The sequence below is a fragment of the Homo sapiens genome, chromosome 5 (assembly GCF_000001405.40).
Source record: "Homo sapiens chromosome 5, GRCh38.p14 Primary Assembly".
NCBI classification, from domain to species: domain Eukaryota; kingdom Metazoa; phylum Chordata; class Mammalia; order Primates; family Hominidae; genus Homo; species Homo sapiens.
This window is the reverse complement of record NC_000005.10, coordinates 129,741,901-129,767,414: the sequence shown is the minus strand read 5'-3', so window position 1 is coordinate 129,767,414 and position 25,514 is coordinate 129,741,901. Positions and strand designations below refer to the sequence as shown.

The window sequence follows — 25,514 nt, the reverse complement described above, 5'->3', positions numbered from 1 at the left end:
CTTCTTTTAAGGTATTATTTTGAGTGTAAACAGGTAAATTCTCTTTATTTATAAGTTGCCCACACATGTAGATGCATAACATTAATTCAAGGCAGGGCAATAATATATTTTGATTTTACAGTTACATTGAAAGCTAAAACTGAAGATTGGTTTGGAAGCAATAGGAAAGTAATAAACTCATTTATGATGAAACCTAAATGACTGATAGTATCATAAATAAGAATAGAAGAGGGATAGGGAGAATAGAAGAATACTAGGTGCTTGACCAGAATTGACTAGGCAGAAGAGAAAGGTAATGAGATGGGGGCAAGGGAGACAGGAATTCAGGTAAGCAGGCTTTACACTTTTCTGGTTACTCTTGCTTATTGCCTTTAGAAGCCTTACCCATGCTTAATCCTAGGCAGCCACATGTGACCTGATGCAGCACAGATGTTTTCCACGTGTGGCAGAGACCTGAACATGTTTTGAATCCCTTAGAGGTAAACTTTAGGCAGGTAAGCTTTGAAGGCAGAGTAACAGCAAGCAATATCTGTCCACAGCGAGAGTGATAAAGTCCCTGATACTTTATTTCTTGTAATTCAGTTTTAAATTTCTCCTGTAATTCAGTTTTAAATTGTACTGGAACCTTCCACGGAGGAGAAGAGGAATAAAAAATCAGGGACTACAAATATGACTAACGCCGTTTTTTTTCTACACAACAACTTTATTGTCCAGTAAAACTGTCTCTTTTTTTGGGGTTTTTTTTGTTTGTTTGTTTGTTTTTTTTTTTTTTTTTTTTTTATGGAAGTCTCACTCTGTCACCCAGGCTAGAGTGCAGTGGCACAATCTCGGCTCACTGCAACCTCTGCCTCCAGGGTTCGAGAGATTCTCCTGCCTCAGCCTCCCAAGTAGCTGAGACTACAGGTGTCTGCCACCAAGCCCCGGCTAATTTTTGTATTTTTAATAGAGACGGGGTTTCACTATGTTGGCCAGGCTGGTCTCGAACTCCTGACCTCATGATCCACCCACCTCAGCCTCCCAAAGTGCTGGGATTACAGGCGCGAGCCACCGCGCCCAGCCCAAACTGTCTTTTACTGTACTTTATTTCAAGCATCTTTAAGACAAATACAACAAAATGATATGGCAATATCAAGGGACAAAATCTGACTTTAGGCTCATGAGAAGAAGAGAAAGTCCCTCTTTTGTTTCTTGCATAAGATAGCCTTTGGCTGGGTTGTTTAAAGATGAGAAAAGAGTGGGAATGAGGGGCTTAGGAAAGGATGTTCTAGAAGGAAGGGCAGGATGGTGACTTGATTCCCCATCTGTGTCTACAACCATGTCCCCAGGTATCTGCAGACAATGGAAGGTAAACTCAGGTTGTCAATTAGCTAGCATAAATTAATAATAACAACTGCCTTTAATTAAGCAACTGCTTATTTCGAGCCAGATACTGTTCATACCTGTTTTGTATTTGGTCCTTTGGCCAGCCCTGTTGGGCAGGTAATATCATTCCTTCTCTGAGAGAATAACTTGCCAGAGTCTGTTAGCAAGTAGCAGTTAGGCTTCAAACTCTGTTCTCTTAGCAGTATTCCCTCTGCTTTCCTAGGGACCCCCAACCTAGACCATGGTTGGTAATATATGCACACTGACTGCCACCAGGGGTCACAGCCAATTTGGATAAATTGGATCTAAATGTAATTAATTATGTAACTATGGCCTATCCAAGTTTAATTCTATTAAAATTGCAACATGAAATTGGGGCATCATAGATGATTACTGGGGAAATAAGAATAGATTTGAATAAGATATTTCCCTTTTTCCTTTTTTCTGACTTAAACAGAAATACAGGAAAATAAAACAGAGAATGAATCTAACTCAGTTGGCAGCACAACTGGAAGATTTTTATCCTAGCTACCCAGCAGTTGGTTAAAAAAAAAATTATCAGCTCAAACTTTTCTGGTGATCACAGGAGGATGAGGTGGTAAAGAGTTAACAGTATTTTTAAAACAAGGTTAATATAGTTTAAGCATGAAAACAAAGCTGCTGACAATTTTTGATACTGTTTGCTCCCTATAAAGATATTTAATGTGGGTTGCATATAGTGACTATTCTGTGATTATGGTCCTCAGAATTCCTGCTTCCCAAAGTTCAGGGTGGCACTCTTAGAAAGCTTTTATAGAACAAAGTGGAGAAGCCAGCATACCACGCCTGACATTCACATTCTTCAGGACAATTACATTTAATAATACAATCAACAATCCATTCACACTGCATGTACATGTGTTTTTTTGTTATTTTGGTGGGGGGGGTTTCAAATGTTTATCAGAAAAATTTTTAGGAAATTTAAAGTAGCTCTGATTGTTGCAGTTTCCTCAGGTGAAAAAAGTAATGATAGTCACTATGGTAACCAAGATGGAGATAACGACAAGTAAAATCAGACCCATACGACAGAATTTTGAATGCTTCTCTTGTTTCTCTTCCTTTTTCAATAAAGTGTCAAAACCTGGAGTGTACATGTCTCCCAACCAAAACCGCAGGTCATTAGGATTTTCCTAAAAGAAAATTACATAGAGAATATGATTAATCAGTAATCAGTCAGTGTTACAAATTAATTGAGATTGCAGAACAAGACACTGTCATGGGGACTGATGGTCCATATTCACTCTGTCCTGGGCAAGGCTTCAATGTCATGGCTCACATGAGCGGTATGAGGCTTCCTTGAATAGCATAAAATTGCAGCTACAGTCTCCTGGCTGACAAGGAATCCCTGCAATTCCAATTTGTAGGTCTGCATCAGAATTAATTAGGAGGCCTTCATGATTCTTTAATTAAATTGCTCACATCAGAGGGTCAGAAACACAACGGTGTTTCTATCACATTGTAGCCAATTTGGTGTTCCTTACATCCTATAAATAGTGCATGTAATTCAGCATAGTAAGTTGAAATAAAATGAAAATTCTTTGCTTTAGATGAACCTTTGAGGTTTGATTTTGTCTGCATGCCAGGAATAAACATGCTTGGTGGGGTTTTCAGTAAACCCGGAAGCTGACTTTCATGGAAGTAGTAGGGCTAAAAGTCAGGAGTCTCTTCCATTACTCTTGACCCACTGATTTTCCTTGTAGAGGGCTGCCACATGTCTGGCATGCAGAAACTTTGTTTGACCTCCTGAAAAAAGGACCCATTATATTCTTCCCCACATCAGCTCTTATTTATTCCCCATGTCTCTCTTTCTTTCACAGACTTCATCTTTCCTTCAGGCCCATAGAATTATCAAGTCAACCTGATCTCCTGTACCTGATAAATCACCTGCAAAGTCTATTGTCCATACATTTATAAAAATACATTTTTTTCCTATTACATCTCTTGCTATGTTTTGGTGCTGTAGATTTGGTGTCTATGCCTTCTATACAACAAATTTACAATGAATACTCAATCTCTGCTTTCACAAACCTACTTCATGCTTCATTATATTTCATCTGCTTTATTGTAATGGCTTACAGTGGACTGCCTACCCTCTCTTTGCCTCTCCAGTCTCAGGAGACTTAAAGCTAGCTGAAATGTGGCACAGCAAGTTTTCTTTATCAGCATCAGGGGTCAATGAACTAGCTTCAGACTTCCAGGTGCACTGCTAGGAGAGGAATGTGCATGCATGTATTAATAGAAAGCGAGGATAGATTCTGCTGATGGCAATATAATTCTCCCATTACCCTAGTACTAGTTGGAACTTCTTAGTTTTAGAAATGCTAAAATGTTAAAATAAAATATGGATGATCTGTGAAGAAGGGTAATGATGTAAAAATCCTCATCTACCTCATGCCTATCCTTCATTTTGTGTCCTATCATCAGAGGCCTGCACTCTGTAAGTTTAATGCCTCTGTTCTCCACTAAGAGCTTCATTAATAGAGACTATTTTGTCACATTCTGCATATAGCTTTCCTTTGTAATTAAACATGGATTTCTTTTCTCTTTTCTGGCTTATAAACTCTTACCAATGTAGAAAAATGGGAGTGACCACAGGGACTTGGGTTTATAGCCTAAAAGTGGTGTCAAGGTTTCAGAAAGTAAGTTAGGGGCTCTATGAGATATAGACAAGGGTGAAGATGAAAGTTGAATTAATGAGGCATAAGAAAAAATTTTAATGAAAACCAAAGTTATGGTTTCCAGAAGCTTCTCTCAGGAAGTTAGTGCTGACGAATAACCTTATGAGACCTGTAAAACAGGCCTCAGACCTCAGAGTCCACTGCTTTAGGGAGAGTGAGAGTGTAAACAGAGGACTGGGTAGGGGAGGGAGCAGGTCCTAATTGTAGTAAAACATGGCACTCATTGTATATATGGCTCATTCTTCCTAAACATAATTCATATAATTGTCCAGCTTAAAAAATTACTCCCTATTGCCAATAATATTCAGTTTCCTAAGTGTAGCATTCAAACATTTTTTAGCTTTATTTTCTAGCCTTATTTTCTCATTATTCTGTTACTTAACCTGTATCTCCTATATTTCTGCCTTTGCTCTTGCTACTCCTGACAAAAGAGCCTTCCCACTTAGGCAAACCATCTATACCTTTGGGAATTCTATACATCCTTCAAGCCCATAAGTTTATTTTTTCATGAAGTCCTTTTATAATCAGATGTGATTTGTGCCCCCTTCCTATCCTACAGGCACTTTGTCTTCTTTATTTTTCTTCTTTATTTTTTTTTCAGTGAAACAAAACTTCTTTTTATTGTATAAAGTAATAACCATTCTTAATATCAAACTTCTACTCAAGGTTGAAGAAGAAATAAAGAAGCACGGAAGTAATAACATGGGATTATCAGAAAACCTGACTGATTGTGCTGCTGCTGGCAATGGTGATGATGGACTAATTCCACAAAGAGCAGAAAACCTGAAAATCAGCAATTTCCTAGGACGGAGAATGAAGAGTATCATAGGTAAGCCTATGGCAACATTTAACAGGAGATAATTATGTGCTATCACACTAATCCTAATTTGGGCTTTTATAGTGAACAAATTTTATACTTTTACTGGAATGTTCAGCCTTGCCTGGTAATCAGAAAAATGAAAATCAGCAAACAATGTGTTACCATTTTTTCCAATCATTGATAATTTATTTGAAAAGTAACCAGTATTGGCAAATGTGAGGGAAAAGGCATTTTGGTTTCTTTTTTTGTGAACTTTTATTTTAGCTTCAGGGTTACATGTGCTAGTTTTCTATATAGGTAAAGTGTATCTTGAGAATTTGGGGTACAGATTTTTTTTTTTACTTTATGTTATGGGATACATGTGCAGAATGTGCAGGTTTGTTACATAGTTATACCTGTGCCACGGTGGTTTGCTGCACCTATGAACCCGTCATCTAGGTTTTAAGTCCCGCATGCATTAGGTATTTGTCCTGATGTTCTCCTTCCCCTTGTCCCCCACCCCTCACAGGCCCCAGCGTGTGTTGTTCCCCTCCCTGTGTCCATGTGTTCTCATTGTTCAGCTCCCACTTATGAGTTAGAACACTGCATGGCACTTTCTGTTACTATTACCGTTAGCTTCCTTTATCTTGTTCTATAGTTATTGTCTGTTAGTTTGCTCAGTTAGATCAACTTTTTGAGGGTAGGGACAGGAACATTCACCTCCATAGTTCCCTTATTTTGCATGTAAACAGCAAAAGGAAGAGGCCCTAACATACAGTCAAGAAATGTCTGTAAAATAAATCAGTACTTTTTTTTCTAATAGTAGGGGTGACTTTTTAGATGTCCTTAAGACTCTTGGTAAGGAATGCAAAATTTAAAGAAAGAAGGAAAAAGAAACACAAGATTATTGTTTCTGTGGAGAGCATCTGTTATGTAAACTTCTCTGGAAAATGGGCTACGTAAAGGAGGAGATACATTCAATCTACTAAGAGATTAAGAAACTTCAAAGATTCTGGACAGTGGATCTTTTGAGCAGCACATATTTGAAATTGTAAAAAGTGTGAGTAGGATTCAAGGAGACAGGGTGCTGTCCTCTTTAAAAAAAAAAGAAAAAAATTCTCGAGTGCTTAAGGTATGGGGCTTAGCTTAGATAAACATTTTTAAATGAAGGGTATATACTTGGAAAATGGCAGGCCTTCCTGGCCTAGGGCAGGTGGAGGCAAGCCAAGGCTGGGTAGGAATCCAGTCCATTCAGAAAACAGAGGGCTGCTTCCTTGCTTTTCAGGTATTTTGAAGTTTTTCATGTGATGGGGTGACACCAGTGGGGGCAAACAAAGAAAGAAAAACTTAAGTTGGGTTTAAGCTGGGTGAATGAGTTCATTGCATACTTTTCCTGTGTTGAAATGTTTTTGTTTTGTTTTGTTACTGAGACACAGGAAAATAACCAAAATGTAAATCTGCAATCTTAAATCACTGAGAGGGCTGAGATAAAATAATCTTTGATGAGAAGTTCCTTGCACAGTGCCTAACACAGAACACTTAATAAATATTTTTGAATAAATGTAGACTAGGGAATCAGCTCTTAAGTGTTCATGAACATAAATGTTTACAAACTGACAGAAAATGTGATCTTGCAAATTAATTTTCAATAAACCTTTTACCCTCCTGGAAAACCTTTGTTCTGTACCACATGGCTTTTTTCTTCTCTACACTGTACAGTTGCCAGTAACTGTTGAAACTGTAAAACTCAAAACAAATAAACACAAATACTGACTAGGAGGGAGAAAGAAAAGCCAGGAGCCAAAATGCTCTGAAATCTAGAGATTCTGCGCCTAGTGAAGAGTACCTGTCACTTCAATATTGCTTTCTTTTAGGATTATTTGACTGATCTCCCTTATCAGTTGAAGAGGTTGACTCTTAGTCGTGAGTACCTTCAGATGTCCAGAGAGGTTTGTGTGCAGGGAATGTTTGTCATATTCCTCAATGGTCCATGAGGGGTTCTTTTTTCTTTCTTCCATAGCTTCCTCCAAACTTAGGTCACCATAGAGTGGGTTATTCTTCATAACTGATGACATGGATGGTGGGGGGCTATCAGCAGTGACAAGGCTGTCTGCACTGGATCCCCTAATTCGTTGAGCAGCAATATTCTTCTTTTCCCTCTAAGAGGCAAAGAAACAAGGCATCTCTTAGCAACGGGCCTTCTGATAGTAGGGAATGCAATGTGAGATAACTACCTGATAATGTGCTGATTTTGTGCAGAAACACAACAGATTAGGACAATGAATGAGAAAAGGATTCTAGGGTTTCGTTTGACCTAGAAATCTAACATTAATTGAGTTTTTTCTTTGTGTGTGATCTTGAACAGCTTTACTAATCATTCATTAAAATGCTATTTTATAACTACAGAGAAAGAGCCTTCTTTACTCTCTAATTCAAACAGTAGAATTCCAAACAAAGCCAACTTTTCTCAGGTTATTTGCATTGAGATTTAATGATATTTTACTTATCTCTATTTTTATATTCCATGACTTATTAAAATAGTATTTAATATTATTGTGCTAATCCAGCAAAGTCAAAATTAAAAGACATTTTAGAGATATGCCTCGACTTTCACAAATACTATCATGTCTCCCATTTCAGACAGCTTTGAGGTCTAAGCTAACTTAGCACTGTACATGTAATTTAGCATGTGTGTGTGTAAAGACTGACTGTTAGATAGCTCTAATACTGATTTTCAGGTTTTTAAAAACTTTTCAAATTGAAGCATAATATTCATATATATAAATACATAGCTCTATAAATTCTTGCAAACCAAACAAACTCAAGATTCAACATCCAGACCTAGAAATATGACATTAGTAGCACACCTCATGCTCCTTTCCAGTCACCCTCCCTCCCCCTGCCCAAAGCATAACTATAATAGCACCCAAATTCTAACAGCATAGATTAGTTTGGATTCATCTCATATTTTCTATAAATAAAATCATATAATGTGCGCTTTTCTGTGTCTGGCTTGACCTTCAGATTTTTACTTTGTTTTGTTTCCTTCTTAAGTATATCAAGCTATCATGAAGGTAGAAATTAAAAATTTGTTCATTTTGGAAATTAAAATTTGTTCATTGGTCAAATACAAATTGAGAAGAATCAAAAAGCTTATAGAGTCATGTTTCATTTGTCATGGGACATCAAGAGAGGGATTTCATATAAGTTAATTTTAGATAATCTTTAATCTTTAAAAAGAAGTGGCTCATTTCCTTAATTCACAGATATTTTTCAGTAAATGTATGTCATGTATTTTAGACACCCCAGAGAATATTTAATAGGAATTTTATTCTTCTGAGTCATATTTATGATTATCAATACTCTGATGCTGTCAACATTTATTAGTGTATATAGGTAACATTAATTTATATTATATAAGCTAAAGTTGGAAACTGTTAAATGTAGTTTCCTTCTGAAATGGCTAGCAGGAAAAAAAATCATCTAGATAAAACCATTCCCATTCTCTTCGGTGTTGGATTTCCCTAATTTTCTTAATCCATGCATTTTTCACATACTTAGAGCTCAACTTGCAGACCCTTCTCTGAGTTTAATAGGTCCTTGGTCTGCTCAAAGTCAACTTACATTCTGTAAAACTGTAGTTTGCAATGAAATAATAAATCTTCTTGGCTTAGCATTTATCTCAAAGATAGACTGCTTCAAAAGTAATGTTTCTGAATTGAGAAAAAAGTAATTTGATAAGAAATTTAAATGATATGAGCTTAGCATAATTTTTACTTAATTTTTTTTTTCTTCAAGGCTAGGCATCTTTGATCATCTCTGAAGGGGGATAATTCTCCTGACACTGACAAATTGGCTTTGTCAGATTGTCTTCTACACTGTTGGCCAAGTTTCTTAAATAAGAAAGATCTATAAATGAAAATACAGTTTTGGGGAGATCAAGAAAAAAAGTACACACTCTATTACAATGTATATAGACTTAGAAAATCTAATGTGTAAAAGTAGCAAAATACTCAGAGATACATTTTAAAAGAACATTCAAACCCTTATTTCTAGATGATATTTTTGAAAGTTGTGAGGTTTATTATAGAGCATAGTGCTATTTATTTTTGCACTGCATGTGAATTTATGTCTGAGAGACAGACGAAGGAAAATTAATAGTATAAATTTATTATGAATTTAATCACAAAATAAGCAATACGCTTTTGGTTGAGCTTTTATTTGTATCTTGATAAATTTTTTAAAATAACTTTCAGAACATCAACAACAAAAAACCCTTCACTGTACTGCACAAGAAAGAATACATTTACCAGAGGAAAACTCAGTAGTAATTCAACTATTTTAATTACTTGGGCACTAAAATAAATTACCTTTTAAAATATTTATTTAAAAAAGGTAACACTTCAAAGCTTACCTAGGCTTTTCTGTATTAAGCATAACTTTATTCATTTATCATTTATACACTTTAATCATTATATACTCTGTGTGAAGTAAACTATAATTCAATAAAGAGAGTGAGATAGAAGGCATTTTTGAACAAAGAAAATTAAGTGTACAAAATTCATAGTTTATTGTAAAAACTCTAAAAATGTAATTCAGGAAGAAGAAAGTTGATAACAGACGTTTAAGGTAAAAGAGAAATATGAGAGAGAAAGAAAGACAGAAAGCAAAAAAACTGATAAATGTGTGTGTGAATCCATGCAAGTATTGATTTAGGTGAAATAGAGAAAATAGTAATAATCACTAATTTGTGAATTTTAAAGTAAGAGAAATGAATACACTGGAGTATAGTAAGTTTAACACACATTTTTTATTAGAAAATTTTAAGAAATAATTTCAGTGAGGAGATAGAGATATTACTAACAAGCAGAGAAAGAATGTACAGCTTCTAAGTCACCAGAGCAGTAGGAAAAAGATGAAGACTAAACAATCTTTAAAAAGACTACAAAAAAAGAATACAGGTGGAAAATCTCAGAAACAGAAAAACAATTATAAATAATCACATTAAATGTAGATGGAATAAACTCCCTATTGCAATGACAGAGATTGTCAGATCAGATTTCAAAAAATGAATTAAATTATAAAATATTTACAACAGAAATGCCTAAAATATAAAGATTCAGAAAGAATTAGAGTAAAAAAATATAAAAATTTATACTAGACAAATGTAAACATTGAGAACTGGGTGTTGTGACTGACTAAATGCTCGCTAATTTTGTTTCCACTTCCTAAGCACAGAGGATATCTGCCTTTCCCAGTCTGTTTCTGATTTTATATTGGGGCCACATGTTTTATGTCCATTGACTTGTGGATGAAAGACCACTTCCAAGCCTGGCCCTTGAAATCTTTCACAAGATTTTGGCTCACTTTCTTTTTTTGTGACACTACACACATCTCAGGACTCTTGTGAATGTGCTCTATATAGCAGAAGATGATTATACATATGTGATGAGATATATATATATATATATTAGGTGATACATATGGCATATATAATATATTCATATACCATTATATATAAATATACACACATATGTGTATATATGTGTGTATATACATATATGTTTGTGTGTGTGTGTTTTTTTTTTTTTTTTTTTTTTTTACTGTGGAAAGCCTTACTAGACACTCAGCAAACCTAATGAAACTCAAGCTTGACCAGTAAAATTCCTGGCAAGATCCTTGGAGACAAAATAGACACGGTCAAAAGCTTTGCTAGATATAAAGAATGTTTCTAGAAAATGAATAAAGTTAGTTAACATTAGTAAAATATTGTCATTCTAAACTTGTATGCATCTAATAAAATAGTCTCAACATTTATAAAACAAAACTTAAAATAATTACACAGAGAAATTTATACATGTAATTTTTCTCAAGCATGCAAAATAATCATTAAGAATAAAGAACCTGGGTGAGATTGGAGACTATTATTCTAAGTGAAGTAACTCAGGAATGGAAAACCAAACATCGTATGTTCTCACTGATATGTGGGAGCTAGGCTATGAGGACACAAAGGCATAAGAATGATGCAATGGACTTTCAGGACTTGGAGGGAAGAGTGGGAGGAGGTGAAGGATAGAAGAGTACAAATATGGTGCAGTGTATACTGCTTGGGTGATGGGTGCACCAAAATCTCATAAATCACCACTAAAGAACTTACTTATGTAACCAAATACCACCTGTACCTCAATAACTTATGGAAAAAAAAAAGAATAAAGAAGATGTGAACCATAAAATCAAAAGTTTGTTCAAGTGACATATATGGATGTCTTTATTAAACAATTGAAAATACTTATTTTAAAAATATATACTGAAAATTTTATAAAATTGATAGCATGTTAAATTCCAAAACAAATTTCAAAGACTCAAAATCACTTGGACCATGCTTTTCGACCATTGACAACTTAGTTATAAATCTAGAAATCATTATCAACAACATAAAATAAAACATTCTGCTGACATTTAAAAATACATTTCAAAGAAATAATAATAAACATTTTAAAATTTAGGACAGAATGAAAGTGAGAAATGCTACATTACAAAATTGTTGGCTGGATCTGAAATGGTATTTTGAGAGAATATTATGGGCATATATACTTGCATTATAAAGCAGAATGAGAAAATTAATAAGGTATTAAGCATTGAATTCAAAGTCTTAAAAATAAAGCCATTGAATAAATATAATAAAACAGTCAAAATAAAATCATAAATGTAAAGACAGAATCAACACATATTAAAGGGAATAAATATATACAATGGAGAAGATAAACAAAGTTGAAAGCTATTTCATTGGAAAAACACATTTGAAATATCTCTGGCAATACTGCTCAAGAAAAATAATAGAGACACAAATGCACCCAGTTAGGAATGTAAAGGGGACTTGACAAGAGACACAGCAGAAATTAAGAAACAATCAGAAAATAATCTGAGCGACTTAAAACATTTATGTGCAGTCGGACAATTTCTTACATAATATAACTTACCAAACTTATTTAAGAAAAACTAAAAAAAAAATTAACAAACCTGTGATAATTTGACTAGTCGAATCAATAGTTTTAAACCTCCTCCAAACACACACATTTAAGAACAGCATGTCAGAGGGTTTTGCAGTCAACTTCTACCATTCTCAAAATATATAATTTATTAGTCAAATTCTTCCAGAAAATAGGAAAAGGAACAATCCCCAGCTCACTTTTGAAGTTAGTATAAACTTCAGATGAGGGCAGTCAGTAAAAGAAAAGTATAAGCCAATTTCTCTTATACACATAAATGTAAAATTATAAATGCAATATTGCTGAACAGAATCCTACAATATGTACAAATTATATGTAACAAGATAAAACAGATTTTTACCAGGGAAAGATGTTATACCAACAGGATGGTTTAATATTAGAATATTAATGAAATTTACCACATTAACAGGAAAAAAACATTAAATTTTGCAATAGGTCAGAAAAAGACTTTCAAAATATTCAAACATATTTAAAGCAAACACTCTTAGTGAACTAGAACTAGTAGAAAATTTTCTTAAGCTAATTAAGGGAATGGGCCCCAAACTTACAGAACACAGTTTACTTAATGGTTTAATATTAGAAACACTTATTTTAGTTTCAGAATTAATAAAAGGATGCTAGTAATCACAATGTCCATATAATTTTGCAGTGGAAGCTCAAAGCAATGCAAAAAGAATAGAAACATAAGTAAATAAAAGAAATAGGGTTATAAATAAACAAATAGCAGATGACATGATTATCTACAGGGATGTTTATGGGCAAAATAGATGTTAACACACTTTCTGGATTCAAAATCAGTATATAATGATCAATAGTATGCATGAGTAATGCTCTATTATAAAACATGACTTAAAAGGTACTATTACCAAGAGAAAAATAATGTAAGTATTTAGATGTAAACCTAACAAATTATATGGAATAGTTTTGTGTGGAGAATTACAAGATATTATCGAAGGCCATATGAAGAACTGAAAAAATAAAACGATACATCATGGTCATGGATTGAGAGAATCAAGGTCATATAAAGATTTCTGTTTTCTCCATTTTGATCTATGCATTCAGTGTAATCCTTATCATAATCTTAGTGAAAAGAAGGCATTTTGCATGTATTTCATATGTCAGCACATACACTTTCTCAGAAAATCAGCTCTTTTGTGAACACAAAATTTTTGTTTTAAATTGCTAGAATGGAAAGCTTTCTAAAGCACATATTTGATTGTGTCATTCTTCTGCTTAAATTTTTCACTGATTCTTCAAAATTTTCAGGGTAAAATTCAAAATCTTAGACAAAGCCCATGGACCCTCCATGGTGTGATTCAGGCTTCTCTGAAACCTTATGTCCTGCCTTTCCCTGCAGATAACCAGGGCTCTTTGTGCTCACAGGTGGTATTATAACATACAAGGTACCTTTAATATAGGCTTTCATGCCAGAGACATTTGGGTCTCAACTAAGAACAGTTTGGAGGAGCAATTTGGGTGTTCTTTTTGGAAATATACCATCCGTGGCCAATTCCCTAATCCTATAAATTTAGTACAACTTGGTACCCTGAAGAACTTGATGATGCTATCAATCTACTTCGTAGATAATATAAGCACCTGCAAAGTACCACATTGTCATCCAATATAAGCTTAGAAAGGAGAAATGATTGTATTGTGCAGTATTGTTCTTTTCTTTCTTTTTCTTCTTTCTTTCTCTTTTTCTTCTTCTCCTTCCTTCCTTCCTTTCTCTGTCTCTCTCTCTCTCTGACGCTCTCACTCTCTCTCTCTCTCTCTTTCAACGGAGTCCCACCCTGTTGCCCAGGCTAGAGAACAATGGCGCGATCTCAGCTCACTGCAATCTCCACCTCCCCGGTTCAAGCGATTGTCCTGCCTCAGCCTCCGGAGTAGCTGGGATTACAGGTGCGCGCCAGCAAGTCCAGCTAATTTTTTGTATCTTTAGTAGAGACGGGGTTTCACCATGTTGGTCAGGCTGGTCTCGAACTCCTGACCTGCTGATCCACCCGCCTCGGCCTCCCAAAGTGCTGGGACTTTTTTTTTTTTTTTTTTGAGACAGTCTTGCTCTGTTGCCTGGGCTAGAATGCAGTGGCACGATCTTAGCTAACTGCAACCTCTGCCTTCCAGCTTCAAGTGTTTCTCATGCCTCAGCCTCCTGAGTAGCTGGGATTACAGGCCATGCCACCACGGGAGGCTAATTTTTGTATTTTTACTATAGATGGGGTTTTGCCATGTTGGCCAGGCTGACCTTGAACTCCTGGCCTCAAGTGATCTGCCCGCCTCAGCCTCCCAAAGTGCTGGAATTACAGCATGAGCCATGGCACCCGGCCCCAGCACTGTTTTTTTCAAAACAATAAATGGAAGATTGAAAATAGAGACAGTCTTAGGAAGGCATGACGTGTGTTCAGAGACAGAAGAAATACAATTATACACAAAAAAAAACCCATGATAAAAAGGAAAGACATTGAAATTTATGGGAAAAAAGAGTGTGACTGAATTGAAAAAGAGTGCAGAAAGGTGATTAGGAAATAAATTCAGTAAATGACATTGTCTAGAAATCAATGGAAGAGCAGCCTCTCGCCCTTAGCCTTTCCCTCCATCTCACGGGTTTAGTCTGGAATGCTCCTTGATTCTGAAACTGATGTGACAGAAGCCAGGAAAAGATATAACAAAGGAGTTAGTCTGAAAATATTCTGACGTGCAACTGCTAATTAGAAAATTAAGGCCCACCACAATAAATGGAAAAAAAAAAAAGACACACATTTTTCTTTCTTGCCATTTGAATTTTTTTAAATTATACTTTAAGTTCTGGGATACATGTACAGAACATGCAGGTTTGTTACATAGTTATACCTGTGCCAAGGTGGTTTGCTGCACCCATCAACCCATCATCTAGGTTTTAAGCCCTGCATGCATTAGGTATTTGTCCTAATGCTATCCCTCCCCTTGCCATTAAACCCCGGACAGGTCCTGATGTGTGATGTTCCCCTCCCTGCGTCCACATGTTCTCATTGTTCAGCTTCCTATTATGAGTGAGAACATGCCGTGTTTGGTTTTCTGTTCTTGTGATAGTTTGCTGAGAATGATGGTTTCCAGCTTCATCCATGTCCCTGCAAAGGACATGAACTCATCCTTTTCTATGGCTGCATAGTATTCCATGGTGTATGTGTGCCACATTTTCTTTATCCACTCTAACATTGATGGACATTTGGGTTGGTTCCAAGTCTTTGCTGTTGTGAACAGTGACTCAACAAACATACATGTGTATGTGTCTTTATAGTAGAATGATTTATAATCCTTTGGGTATATACCCAGTAATGGGATTGCTGGGTCAAATGGTATTTCTAGTTCCAGATCCTTGAGAAATGGCCACACTGTCTTCCACAATGGTTGAACTAGTTTACATTCCCACCAACAGTGTAAAAGCGTTCCTATTTCTAGACATCCTCGTCAGCATCTGTTGCTTCCTGACTTTTTAATGAACACCATTCTAACTGGCATGAGATGGTATCTCATTGTGGTTTTGATTTGCATTTCTCTAATGACCAGTGATGATGAGCTTTTTTTCACGTTTGTTGGCTGCATAAATGTCTTCTTTTGAGAAGTGTCTGTTCATATCCTTTGCCCACTTTTTGATGGGGTTGTTTGAAAAACACATTATTTTATCACATTTGTTTAAAAAAATCAGCCTTTTTTCATTACTTGTTTTATAAAGGGGTTGGCAGAAATATTTGGAATACATTTCTAAATGCCTTCATCAGAAACATCCCCAAAATTAATCTAACAGGTAGAAACATTAGATTTTGGTGAATGTTTCTTCATTACACTGACATAAAATTTGTTGTGAAGCTTCTTTATTTCTCTGGTGAAAGAATTTAAGGAGAAGTATAAATATAATAGAATCAAATAATATCTGTGTATACTCTCTGCAAATATGGGAGACCTGAGTATCTGCATAGATGGGAACTACAATGTCCCTGGTTACTGAATCAACTGAGACCATCACTGCTTATTTTCCTAGATTGAGGCCAGGCATGGTGACTCATGCCTATAATTGAGCACTTTGGGAGGCCAAATTGGATGGATACCTTGAGGCAGGAGTTCGAGGCCAGCCTGGTCAGCATGGTGAAACCCCATCTCTACTAAAAATACAAAAATTAGCTGGGCATGGTGGCGGGTGCCTGTAATCCCAGATACTCAGGAGGCTGAGGCATGAGAGTTGCTTGAATCTGGGAGGCAGAGGTTGTAGTGAACCGAGATTGTGCCACTGCACTCCAGCCTGGGTGACAGAGTGAGACTATGTCTCAGAAAGAAAAAAAAAATAGATTGAATGGTATTGCTTTAGCTCATATAAAAATGACCAGGAGAGTTTCCTCTGCAAATGGAAAGTGAATTTTAAAAGTTAGATGATAAGTCATTGATAATAAAATGATACCAATATTTAAGAATTCAATGTGACATTTCAAATCTAGGGAATCTCTGTTTTAACTGCTGAGTTACCCCGAGTTTGAAGGTAATGACTGCAGGTTAAGTGCTTTGCCATTCGGTAAGGTAGTCTATATCCTAAACACCATGCACTTGTGTGGTGTGGGATGAAAGGATCAGTTGACACAACTCTGGAGTTTGTGTAGATTTCATGTGGTATTATATCTACTGCTTGGTTTAGTCACGCAGGTTGACGTATTTATTGAGTACATCCCCTCAACCACCATGTGCACACACGTGCATGCGTGCACACATATACACTCACCCCTTCATCCACAATATTTATAAAATAATGGAAATGGAATTATCTGCTAATAAATTCTAATGAAAGGATAACTTCAATACATTTTGAAATACTGGTATAAATAACAATACATATGTACATACTTCCATACATATTCTTGATCTTTTATAGGAAAATCTGGCTCTCAGTTGCTTTTACTTCATGTTTCATTTGCTCTCACTTTTAAGGAAATATGGAAAATAAATATTATCCTAATACTGCAAGTGGAAATACTGAGGCATGAATTAAGGGTCATGACAGATGTCTCTAAAACTGGTTTATTGTGAATTTGAGATAAGAAACCAAGTTTCTAACTTCTTTATTCCATGTTCTTCCCATTGACTTACTGACTCCCCAATGGAGTGTGAGCTTTAAATTAAGAACTATTTGGTAGCCACCACCTTATGTGTGCCCAACACCTCAGTGTACCTGCATATTCAGTGTCTTCTTTCATGGCATGCTATCGTGGTATCATGGCAAATATTTAAAACTTCTATATGGCCATTTCTATGACATTTATTGTTTTATCCAATGAATATATCAATCATGGATTTTAAGATCTATCCCCAAAAGAGAATTAGTTAATGATGCATTGCACAGTGAAGTGGTGAATATTGTTGTTGTTACTCATACTTTGTGCCACATCTACCTGATTACCTGAATTTGTACTTGATGTCCTGCCTCTCCACTCCATGCATTAATAATTGGCCAATTAGTACACTGGCCTTCACTAGGTCATTTAACATTTCTTCTTAGGCTAAAAGGATACCTAAATCAAGTTTATTTGAAGTTTATAATGATTAACAACACATATTCAAAGACCTATGAAGCAGAAGTTTACCTCTTTGGTTTTTCTTTGAATAACTATTTCCACCCAATGGGGCCTGTAGAAAAAGTTGCCTTTTAAAAATTTGCATTTCATTTAGGTTTAGGAACAACATTCAACAGAGTTTTAAACTGTGAAGTTCCACATGAAGGAAATAGGTCAACTTCAGTACCAAACAAAAGATGTTAGATCAATGTGTTCCAACCTCAAAGGAATTTATTGGATATGTTTTCTTAGACTAAACTGCATAGCATAGAAGGGCCAAGTTTTCTGAACTGATTTTTGAATCATTTTATTCTGTGATATAAACAATAAGGAGGAAAAAGGAGCAATTTCATTTCATTTCATTTCATTTAAAACTTAAAAAAAGAACGCCTACAAATACAACAACAACAAGATGGCTGGGTATGAAATGGCAGAAGGGTTTGAGGATTACCAAAGTGATTGATGCAAAATTCAAAAAATGCCAGTTGTCATAATAGGCTGCCTTACAATGGAAATAAATTAAAATCCTTATAGGTGGAGGAAACACTTACATAATCATTTGAGTGTACTTGATTTTGAATGATCTCATGATAAAGGTCCCAAGGAGCCCACAAACTTACCACAAAGGAGTCACTTTACACCAGGACTCATGAGTAGCAACTGTTCTTAAAAGAAAACAAATTTCTGTTCAGGGAATTTGAACCACTCCAAAGGATTTAATGACTTGCAGGGGTTTGTAGGTCAGTCACATCTGTTCTGTAATGAAATGCTTCTTCCTGTTTCTAAATTGACTAACTCTTAACCCCATTAGCCTTCATGTCTTAAAGCAAAGATTATTTCTGTTTCATTAGCTGTGCAACAGTTAGGGCCTTTATGTTTACTCCAGCTGATGGAACTCATCACAGTTTTATTCTTCTCTTTTGGTCAGCAAAAAGAAGGAAAATGCAAAAGAAAAGAGAAATAAAACCTGCACTGGGTTTGAAGGTCTAATTGGTATTCCTTGTCCACATGGACACCTGTGGAAAATAAGAGTATCTACAGTAATAGCTAGCACTTTTTCAAGTGGCGAGTTCGCTGTATTTTTTCCCTTCAATAATTAGGTTTCCATTGTTCTGTTTTCTAAGTCTTCTGTGTATGCTATGAAAGGGAGCTAGTCTAAGGGAGGCAGAAGCAAGATCTCCAGCTGTTTTAGAGGCTTGTTTATGCCCACAATGTAAACTTCTGATGCTTTATGCTTAGATTACACCAAAAGATAGGGACGGGAGTTTTTCCCCCAAAGTCTTATTTGTGCATATAACAATTAGTTTGAAAATTTTTGAAGGGAAGGAGTAAATGAGGGCCACCTGAAATCTAAAATGAGGATAGGCAGAGAAGCTAATGCTAGGAGGGGAATTAATGAATGAGAGAATCCATGTATTTTATGAATAAATTAAAGAAAAGTTCCTAATGTTAAGGAAGAGAGAAAGACTAAGTTGGAAGACAGAGCAGCTACCTTGTACTCTGTTCCTATAGGCTTCTTGTTGCATAAATGGTGAAATGGCAGATAGCGAGAAAGAAACAAGCCTCCATCCCCGTATTTTTGTGCCCCTAGATCTTACCTGTGAGTAGACAAGGTTTTGCCAGTGTTGTGCAGCAGGATAATTTCCACCCGGAAACCTCACCAGGCTGGCCTGAAGGAGGGCTGAGCTCCTCGTTAAAGACTTTACGTCAAGCTGCAGGAATTTGTCAGGATGGTTGTTATTTGGCAAAACAGAGAGATCCATGTCTCCCTTCACCTACAGTGGAAAACAAAGACAGGCAAAGCTGCTCTTGTCAGACTCCTCCATTATTAATGTGCCTGAGGATGCTCTGACTGCATCTGAAACCAAGTCTCTCAGCTGCACGCAGCCACTGCTCTCGAGATGATACATCAATGCACAGGGACAAAGAAACAAAGCAGCACACTGCCCTACCTTTCTCACACACATGTACATGGAGGGTGCTTGACCGAAACAGATGGGGCTATACTCATTACAATTAATAGGGTGACAGAATTAGATATGTGTAGCACGTAATATCTCTTCATTCAGAGTCAGAAATAACAATTTAAGGGAAACTATTGTTTGAATAAAGGCTGCCAGAATCTGTGTTACAACCCGCAATGCGGAGCACAGGAAACAGTCACGTATAGGGAGACAGTGCTTGATTTTTCTCTTCGAACATTGCTAAGCTAACACAGCTGACTAGGCCCTGCCTCCACAGCCTCACATGTGATACTCAGGATTATGCTTCTTCTCATGTTCCAGAGCCTCAACTCTTGTGCAACCTAACCAGGTTTAGGTTGTTAGCTTTGTTCTGGGGAGGGAAATGGCAAGAATTTGCTCTATAGTTTGCTACAGTAATTTAGTGCCCCAGTCTACCACCTTGACCCATTCACTATCTTAGGTCCCCTTGACTCTGTTCCTAGCTGTATATGCTCTTAACAATGTGCTTTGGTGTTCACACGGCACATTTGGAACCCCAAAAAAACATGGCTGCTGGGTTTGGATGACACGCTCTTCTAAGTGAACCCATCTGCTGTTAAGAGAGCCAAGGTGGTGGGAGTGAGGCTGTGGGCAGTTGTAGCCAGCCAGCAAGTCGTGATGACTTTAATGGAGATATGTTCTCTCTTTACAAGGCACTCTGCTTTAGGTGACCCATACTTCTCACTGGGAAAGTATGGATTTCCATCTGGAGGGAGGAGAAACTTCCCCACTTGTGAGACGGCAAAGGATAGATATATTAGCAGCTTCTAAAAGACATAGGTTGTCTGTTAATTTCACATCTCTATAAACCCCTCTGACTCAGCAGGAAAGTTTCTCTTCCAGGGGCAGTGGGGTTACATGTGGAATGTATCAGCACTAGATCTCAGAAGAGTGCCATATGCCTTACAAGAGTCAGCAGCCGGGGTGTTCTTGAATCAAGCAGGACACTGGAGAGTACTTATCTTCTTCACAGCAATAAACATGAGGGGCTGTATTAAAAAATATCTGCCCTACTTATAGTTGTAAAACTGAATTAAGCAGTTAACATTTTCTCTAAGAATGTTTTGGACCAGAACTCTATCACTGTTTTACAATATTAAAATAGGTTTGGATGGTTTTATAAATGCATTTACTAGATAAAGAAATAGGTACTTCATAATGACAGTTAATAACAAAACAGTGAAACCAAAAGTGTTTCAAGAGTCAAGTATATTATGTGTATGTGCATGTGCTTGGTACTTTCTGGATTTTCCTGGTTGCTGCCAGAATATATCTAATGAACAAATATTTCTCAGGCTGCTTGCTCTTCCTAAAAGATTCTTTGGGGAATAACACACACCTTCAAGAAGAAATTTACTTGTCTTTGGCTCTCTATATTGGCAAGTAGAGACACAGAACCTAGATCCAAATATATTTGATTAGGCTTTTTCCTTAGCCAAAGCATGAGGTAGGTGGTATGAGCCTTCAGTTTTCCTTAGGCATCCTTCCTTTCAATACTTCTGTCATTCCCTAGTTGCCCGAGGCTTCGATACTGTCTCGTTCTACTTACAAGTTTCGTCTCAGCCTCTCCATCTTCTCCCACCATCCTTTGTCTGCCTTTACCCCAAAACCATCAATTCTTATTTCTCATTGCTATCCCTGTAGGTAGCCTAAATGACTGAAAATCAGGAAATCAAGCTTTTACTTTTTAAAGTACAGATTCAGGGGGTAAAGGTGCAAGTTTATTACCTGAGTATATTGCGTAATGGTGGGGTCTGGGCTTCTAGTGAACCCATTACCCAAACAGTGAACGTAGTATCGATAGGTGGTTTTTCAGCCCTTGGCCCCCTTCTTTTCTCCCCCCTTATAAAGCCTCCAGTGTCTGTTGTTTCCATCTTTATATCCATGTGTGGGCATTTCTTAGCCCTCAGTTATAAGTGAGAACCTGTGTCTCTGCTAATGCCAGCTCTGCTGCCTGGAACCTTCCTTCCCATCCGTGGCTGTTGACTACCTCCTAATTGTCATTCAGGGGTCATCGCTGATACCTAGCCTTTTACAAAACCTTTACATATTTTTGCTAGAAGGTATCATTTTTCTCTCCTTTGAAACCTTACAGTGATTTATTTCTACTCTCATCTTCTTATCTTTTGTTTGATGCTGTATTTCACATTTTTGTTTTAAGGGCCTTTACACTAAAGGATACTTCACAAAAGAGCAGCCCTATAACATGGCCTCTTCCAAATAAGTCATGTCTGAAGACCCTAATGAAGCCCTTTGCTCAATAAATAATGATTGCTGTTGTCTCTTCCAGTCTATTAGGACTTAACTATGATTGAAAGTTGATAATCCAATTAAACTTTAAAAAAATGTCTTGGTGCTCCATTTTAAAATCTGAATTCCAACCATACTCAGTGAAAAAAAAAGGATTCCATTGCCCAAAATGACATCCTCTATAATTCTCTTCTGGTAGTTTATAGTTCATAAGCTCATCATGAAGGTGGAGAGATTCTGTTTTGTTAACTCAAACATTTTCAAAATTTATCTGATCACATAACAACTCCTTCATTGTTTTCCTGTTAACTCTTAAAAAAATAAGTTACTTGATCATAATTTTAAAAATACTGGCTTAGGGTTTCTAGTCCCTTATTGTCAATAATACCTTTGTTCAAGAGTGATGTAGGGTATAAACACATATAAAGAGTTACTATATTGGAAGAGCAGTGTGGTGGGAATGTGGGTATCTGAGGCCTCTCAACTCTTACCATGCAACTAATCATTTGCTCTTTCTTTACAGCATTTAAAAAAATTACAGTACCATTTTCCCATGGATGGATTTGCATCCATAGTAATTGTTTCTGAACCATAAGAATTGGAAAAATAGAATTAAATACAGCTTCATCAGGCAAAACTGTTTATCTGTTGTTAGGTTGGTGCAAAAGTAATTGTGGTTTTTGCCACTAAAAGTAATTGCAAATACTTTTGCACCAGCCTAATAATTCACATTTTCCCCTTTTATTCTCTCTTTCTTTTTTCTTTCTAGCTTTCAAGATCACTGAAAGCCAGTGGAAATATCTGAAAGTATTTCCAGCTCCAGTGCCTGTTCAATGATCAGATGAGCCATCAAGGTTCATCAAACCGAGATAATTTAGAAATTATTTCCATAGTTTTGATTACAAGGAAAGACTGTGATTGGGTTATATAAATCCTGTGCATTTCTTATATTTTCAAAATTGGTAAATAAGGGTGGCAATTAGAATAATTGAATGCACAGTATTTATGTAATAGGGAGCCTCTATAGATCCAACTAAATTGTGTTCTTGGGCAACATTCTGAGTCTCACTGAGGTTCGGTTTCCTCAGCTAAAAACAGATATTAACGGTACCTTAAAGGTTGCTGTGAGATGTAATATGTATAGTGGCCAACAGAATGCTCAGCATATATTAAGCACTAAAAAAGTTTGCTGTTATTTTGAGAGTGCATATGAACATGTATTTTTCACTTTAGGTATAACTGCTATAAAACTAAAATGGGAAAAGTTAAAAATTAAAGCCATATTAACAATCTATAGTTAAAAAATCAATTATGTTTCCCAGAGTCCCCCTTCCCTGTGTGATTCTAGGTGAGAATCGACCAAAAGAGGGACTTCCATGAGATTCTGAAGGCAAAATTGAAACAGTATCCATTAACCTGAAAGTCTCTTTTAGACAGATGCAGCATGTGCCTGGCAGACTGCAGCCTGACTTTGCTCTCTTGAACTCCAGACCCGTTTTTTCTTCCCAACTGTTGGTCCTGTTGACCAACAGAAAAGTCAGATTCACTACCAGATGTTGGCTGTGAACCTATAAAGAAGGAAAGTGCACAGAGGCAACAATATCCCATAGATTTCCTTGCAGACTACCCTTTCAGAGTTTTTCTTAGCTGGCTGTGCCTGCTCCTTGGATTGATTGGCTGGTGACTCCCCTAATCCTCCAACTCCTCTTACAGCCCTTCAGTTTCCCATCTCCTCTCACAGTTGTGTGAGCTCAACTACATTATCCTATAACCCTCTGAAACTGCTCTGCTGACTGAACCAGCCAGAAGTGTTTCCGGGGAATAGAACTTTAAAAATAAAATTTGAAACTGGTTCTCTTATCTGACTAGATTTAAAGACATGAATGACCCTATTACCAGGGGTAAGTGGGAGCCTGGCCATCCATGGCATGCAGTGATTCAACAGTTATTTAAATTCTCACTTATAGTCACCCCTAGTGCCTGTATAATCTAAGTGGCTACAGAGGCAATGTGCAGAGTTACCAAGTATCTGCTGCATTAGAACCGTTTCACAGAAACAAAGAGAATAATGACTGTGGAGTTGATTCATTGCTTCTAAATGTGCTGAAGAACTTAGAGAAAGAAAATGATAAGATGAGATTTAAAGTTCAAGGTCTAAGTTGGGAGCAGAAAAAGCTTCTGTGACTGCTCTGAAATAAAACCTTTAAATATTTTTATCTTAAAAATTGATACATAATAGTTACACACACACACACACATATATATATAGCCACATATTTACATATTTTTGGGGTACATAGTGATGTTTCAGTACTTACAACGTATAGTTATCAGATCAAGGTAATTAGCATATCCAGTATCTCAAACACTGATCATTTCTTTCTGTTGGGAATGTTCAATATCCTTTTTCTTCTAGCTGTTTGAAAATATATATTAATGTTAACTATGGTCATCCTACAGTGATATAGAACACTAGAGGTTATTCCTCCTATCTAGCTGTAATTTTGCTTCCTTTAATAAATCTCTCTCTATCCCCTTTTCCCCTACCATTCCCAGCCTCTGGCAACCTCTGTTCTACTCTTTACTTCTATGAGATCAACATATTTTAGCTTCTGCATTTGAGTGAGGCATGTAGTGTTTAACTTTCTGTTTCTTGCTTATTTTATGTAATATAATGTCCTCTAGGCTCATCTATGTTGCTGCAAATGATAGGATTTTATTCTTTTTTATGGCTGAGCTGTATTCCATTGTCTATATATACCACATTTTCTTTATGTATACATCTGTTGATAGATACTTGGGTTGATTCCATATCTTGACTATTGTAAATAGTGCTGCAATAAGCATGGAAGCCTTTTATGGTTTCATACAAATTTTAGAATTGCCTTTTGTATTTCTGTGAAGACTGTCATTGCCACTTTGATAACGATTTCATTGAATCTGTAGATTGTTTGGGGGAGTATGGTCATTTTAACAAGATTATTTTTTTCCAGTTCATGGCCATGGGATGCCTTTCCATTTGTATGTGTCTTATTCAATTTCTTTCATCAGTGTTTTATAGTTTGTTTTATGTGTAGAGATTGTTTACTTCATTGGTTAAATTTACTCCCAGGTATTTTATTTTATTTTTATTTTTTGGAGCTAATGTAAATGGGATTGCTTTCTTGATGTCTTTTCCAGGTTGTCATTGTTAGCATGTAGAAGCACTATTGATTTTTGTATATTGATTTTGTATCCTGAGATTTTACTGAATTTGTTTATCAGTTCTAAGAGTGTTTAGGTTTTTTTAATACATAAGATCATCTCCTCTGCAAACAGGGCCAAATTTTACTTCTTCCTTTCTAATTTGCATGCCCTTTGTTTCTTTCTCTTCTGTAATTTCTCTGGCTGTGATTCTCAGCACTATGTTGAATAAGAGTGGTGTAGTCTTCCTTGATTGTTACCATTTTTAGATGAAAAGTTTTCAGCTTTTCTCTGTTTAATATGATGTTAACTATGGGTTTGACACACACAGTCTTTACTGTGTTGAGGCACCTCAACACGGCAAACCTTTTTTAATTGTACTGCTGATTTTCCTCAGGACCTTTCCCTATCTGTCATGTCTTCTAAATCCATACTCAGACTTAAGTCCTGGAAGATCCAAGGGGACCAGGTAAAAACTGTGACTGATGAGGTTGTACTTTAAGGTTCTAAAAGAATTATGAGATTTTGCAAAGTCATATAAACTGTGTGGGGATGTTTCTTATGGATGTTAGATTACGATGGAAGATATACAATCTTGGATTAGCTTGAATTTTTTT

The 25,514-nt window shown here is 36.3% G+C and overlaps 1 protein-coding gene across 1 annotated transcript; it reads right to left on the bottom strand.

Annotated features, from left to right (window-relative positions):
• Positions 1 to 682: 682 nt before the first annotated feature.
• On the bottom strand, positions 683 to 19,321 carry MINAR2 (membrane integral NOTCH2 associated receptor 2). Its single transcript, NM_001257308.2, has 3 exons — positions 19,060 to 19,321; positions 6,810 to 7,037; positions 683 to 2,531 (listed from the first exon to the last, which is right to left on the bottom strand). Exons 1-3 carry the CDS (start codon positions 19,222 to 19,224, stop codon positions 2,352 to 2,354), a joined length of 573 nt encoding a protein of 190 aa, NP_001244237.1. The 5' UTR covers positions 19,225 to 19,321; the 3' UTR covers positions 683 to 2,351.
• Positions 19,322 to 25,514: the final 6,193 nt, after the last annotated feature.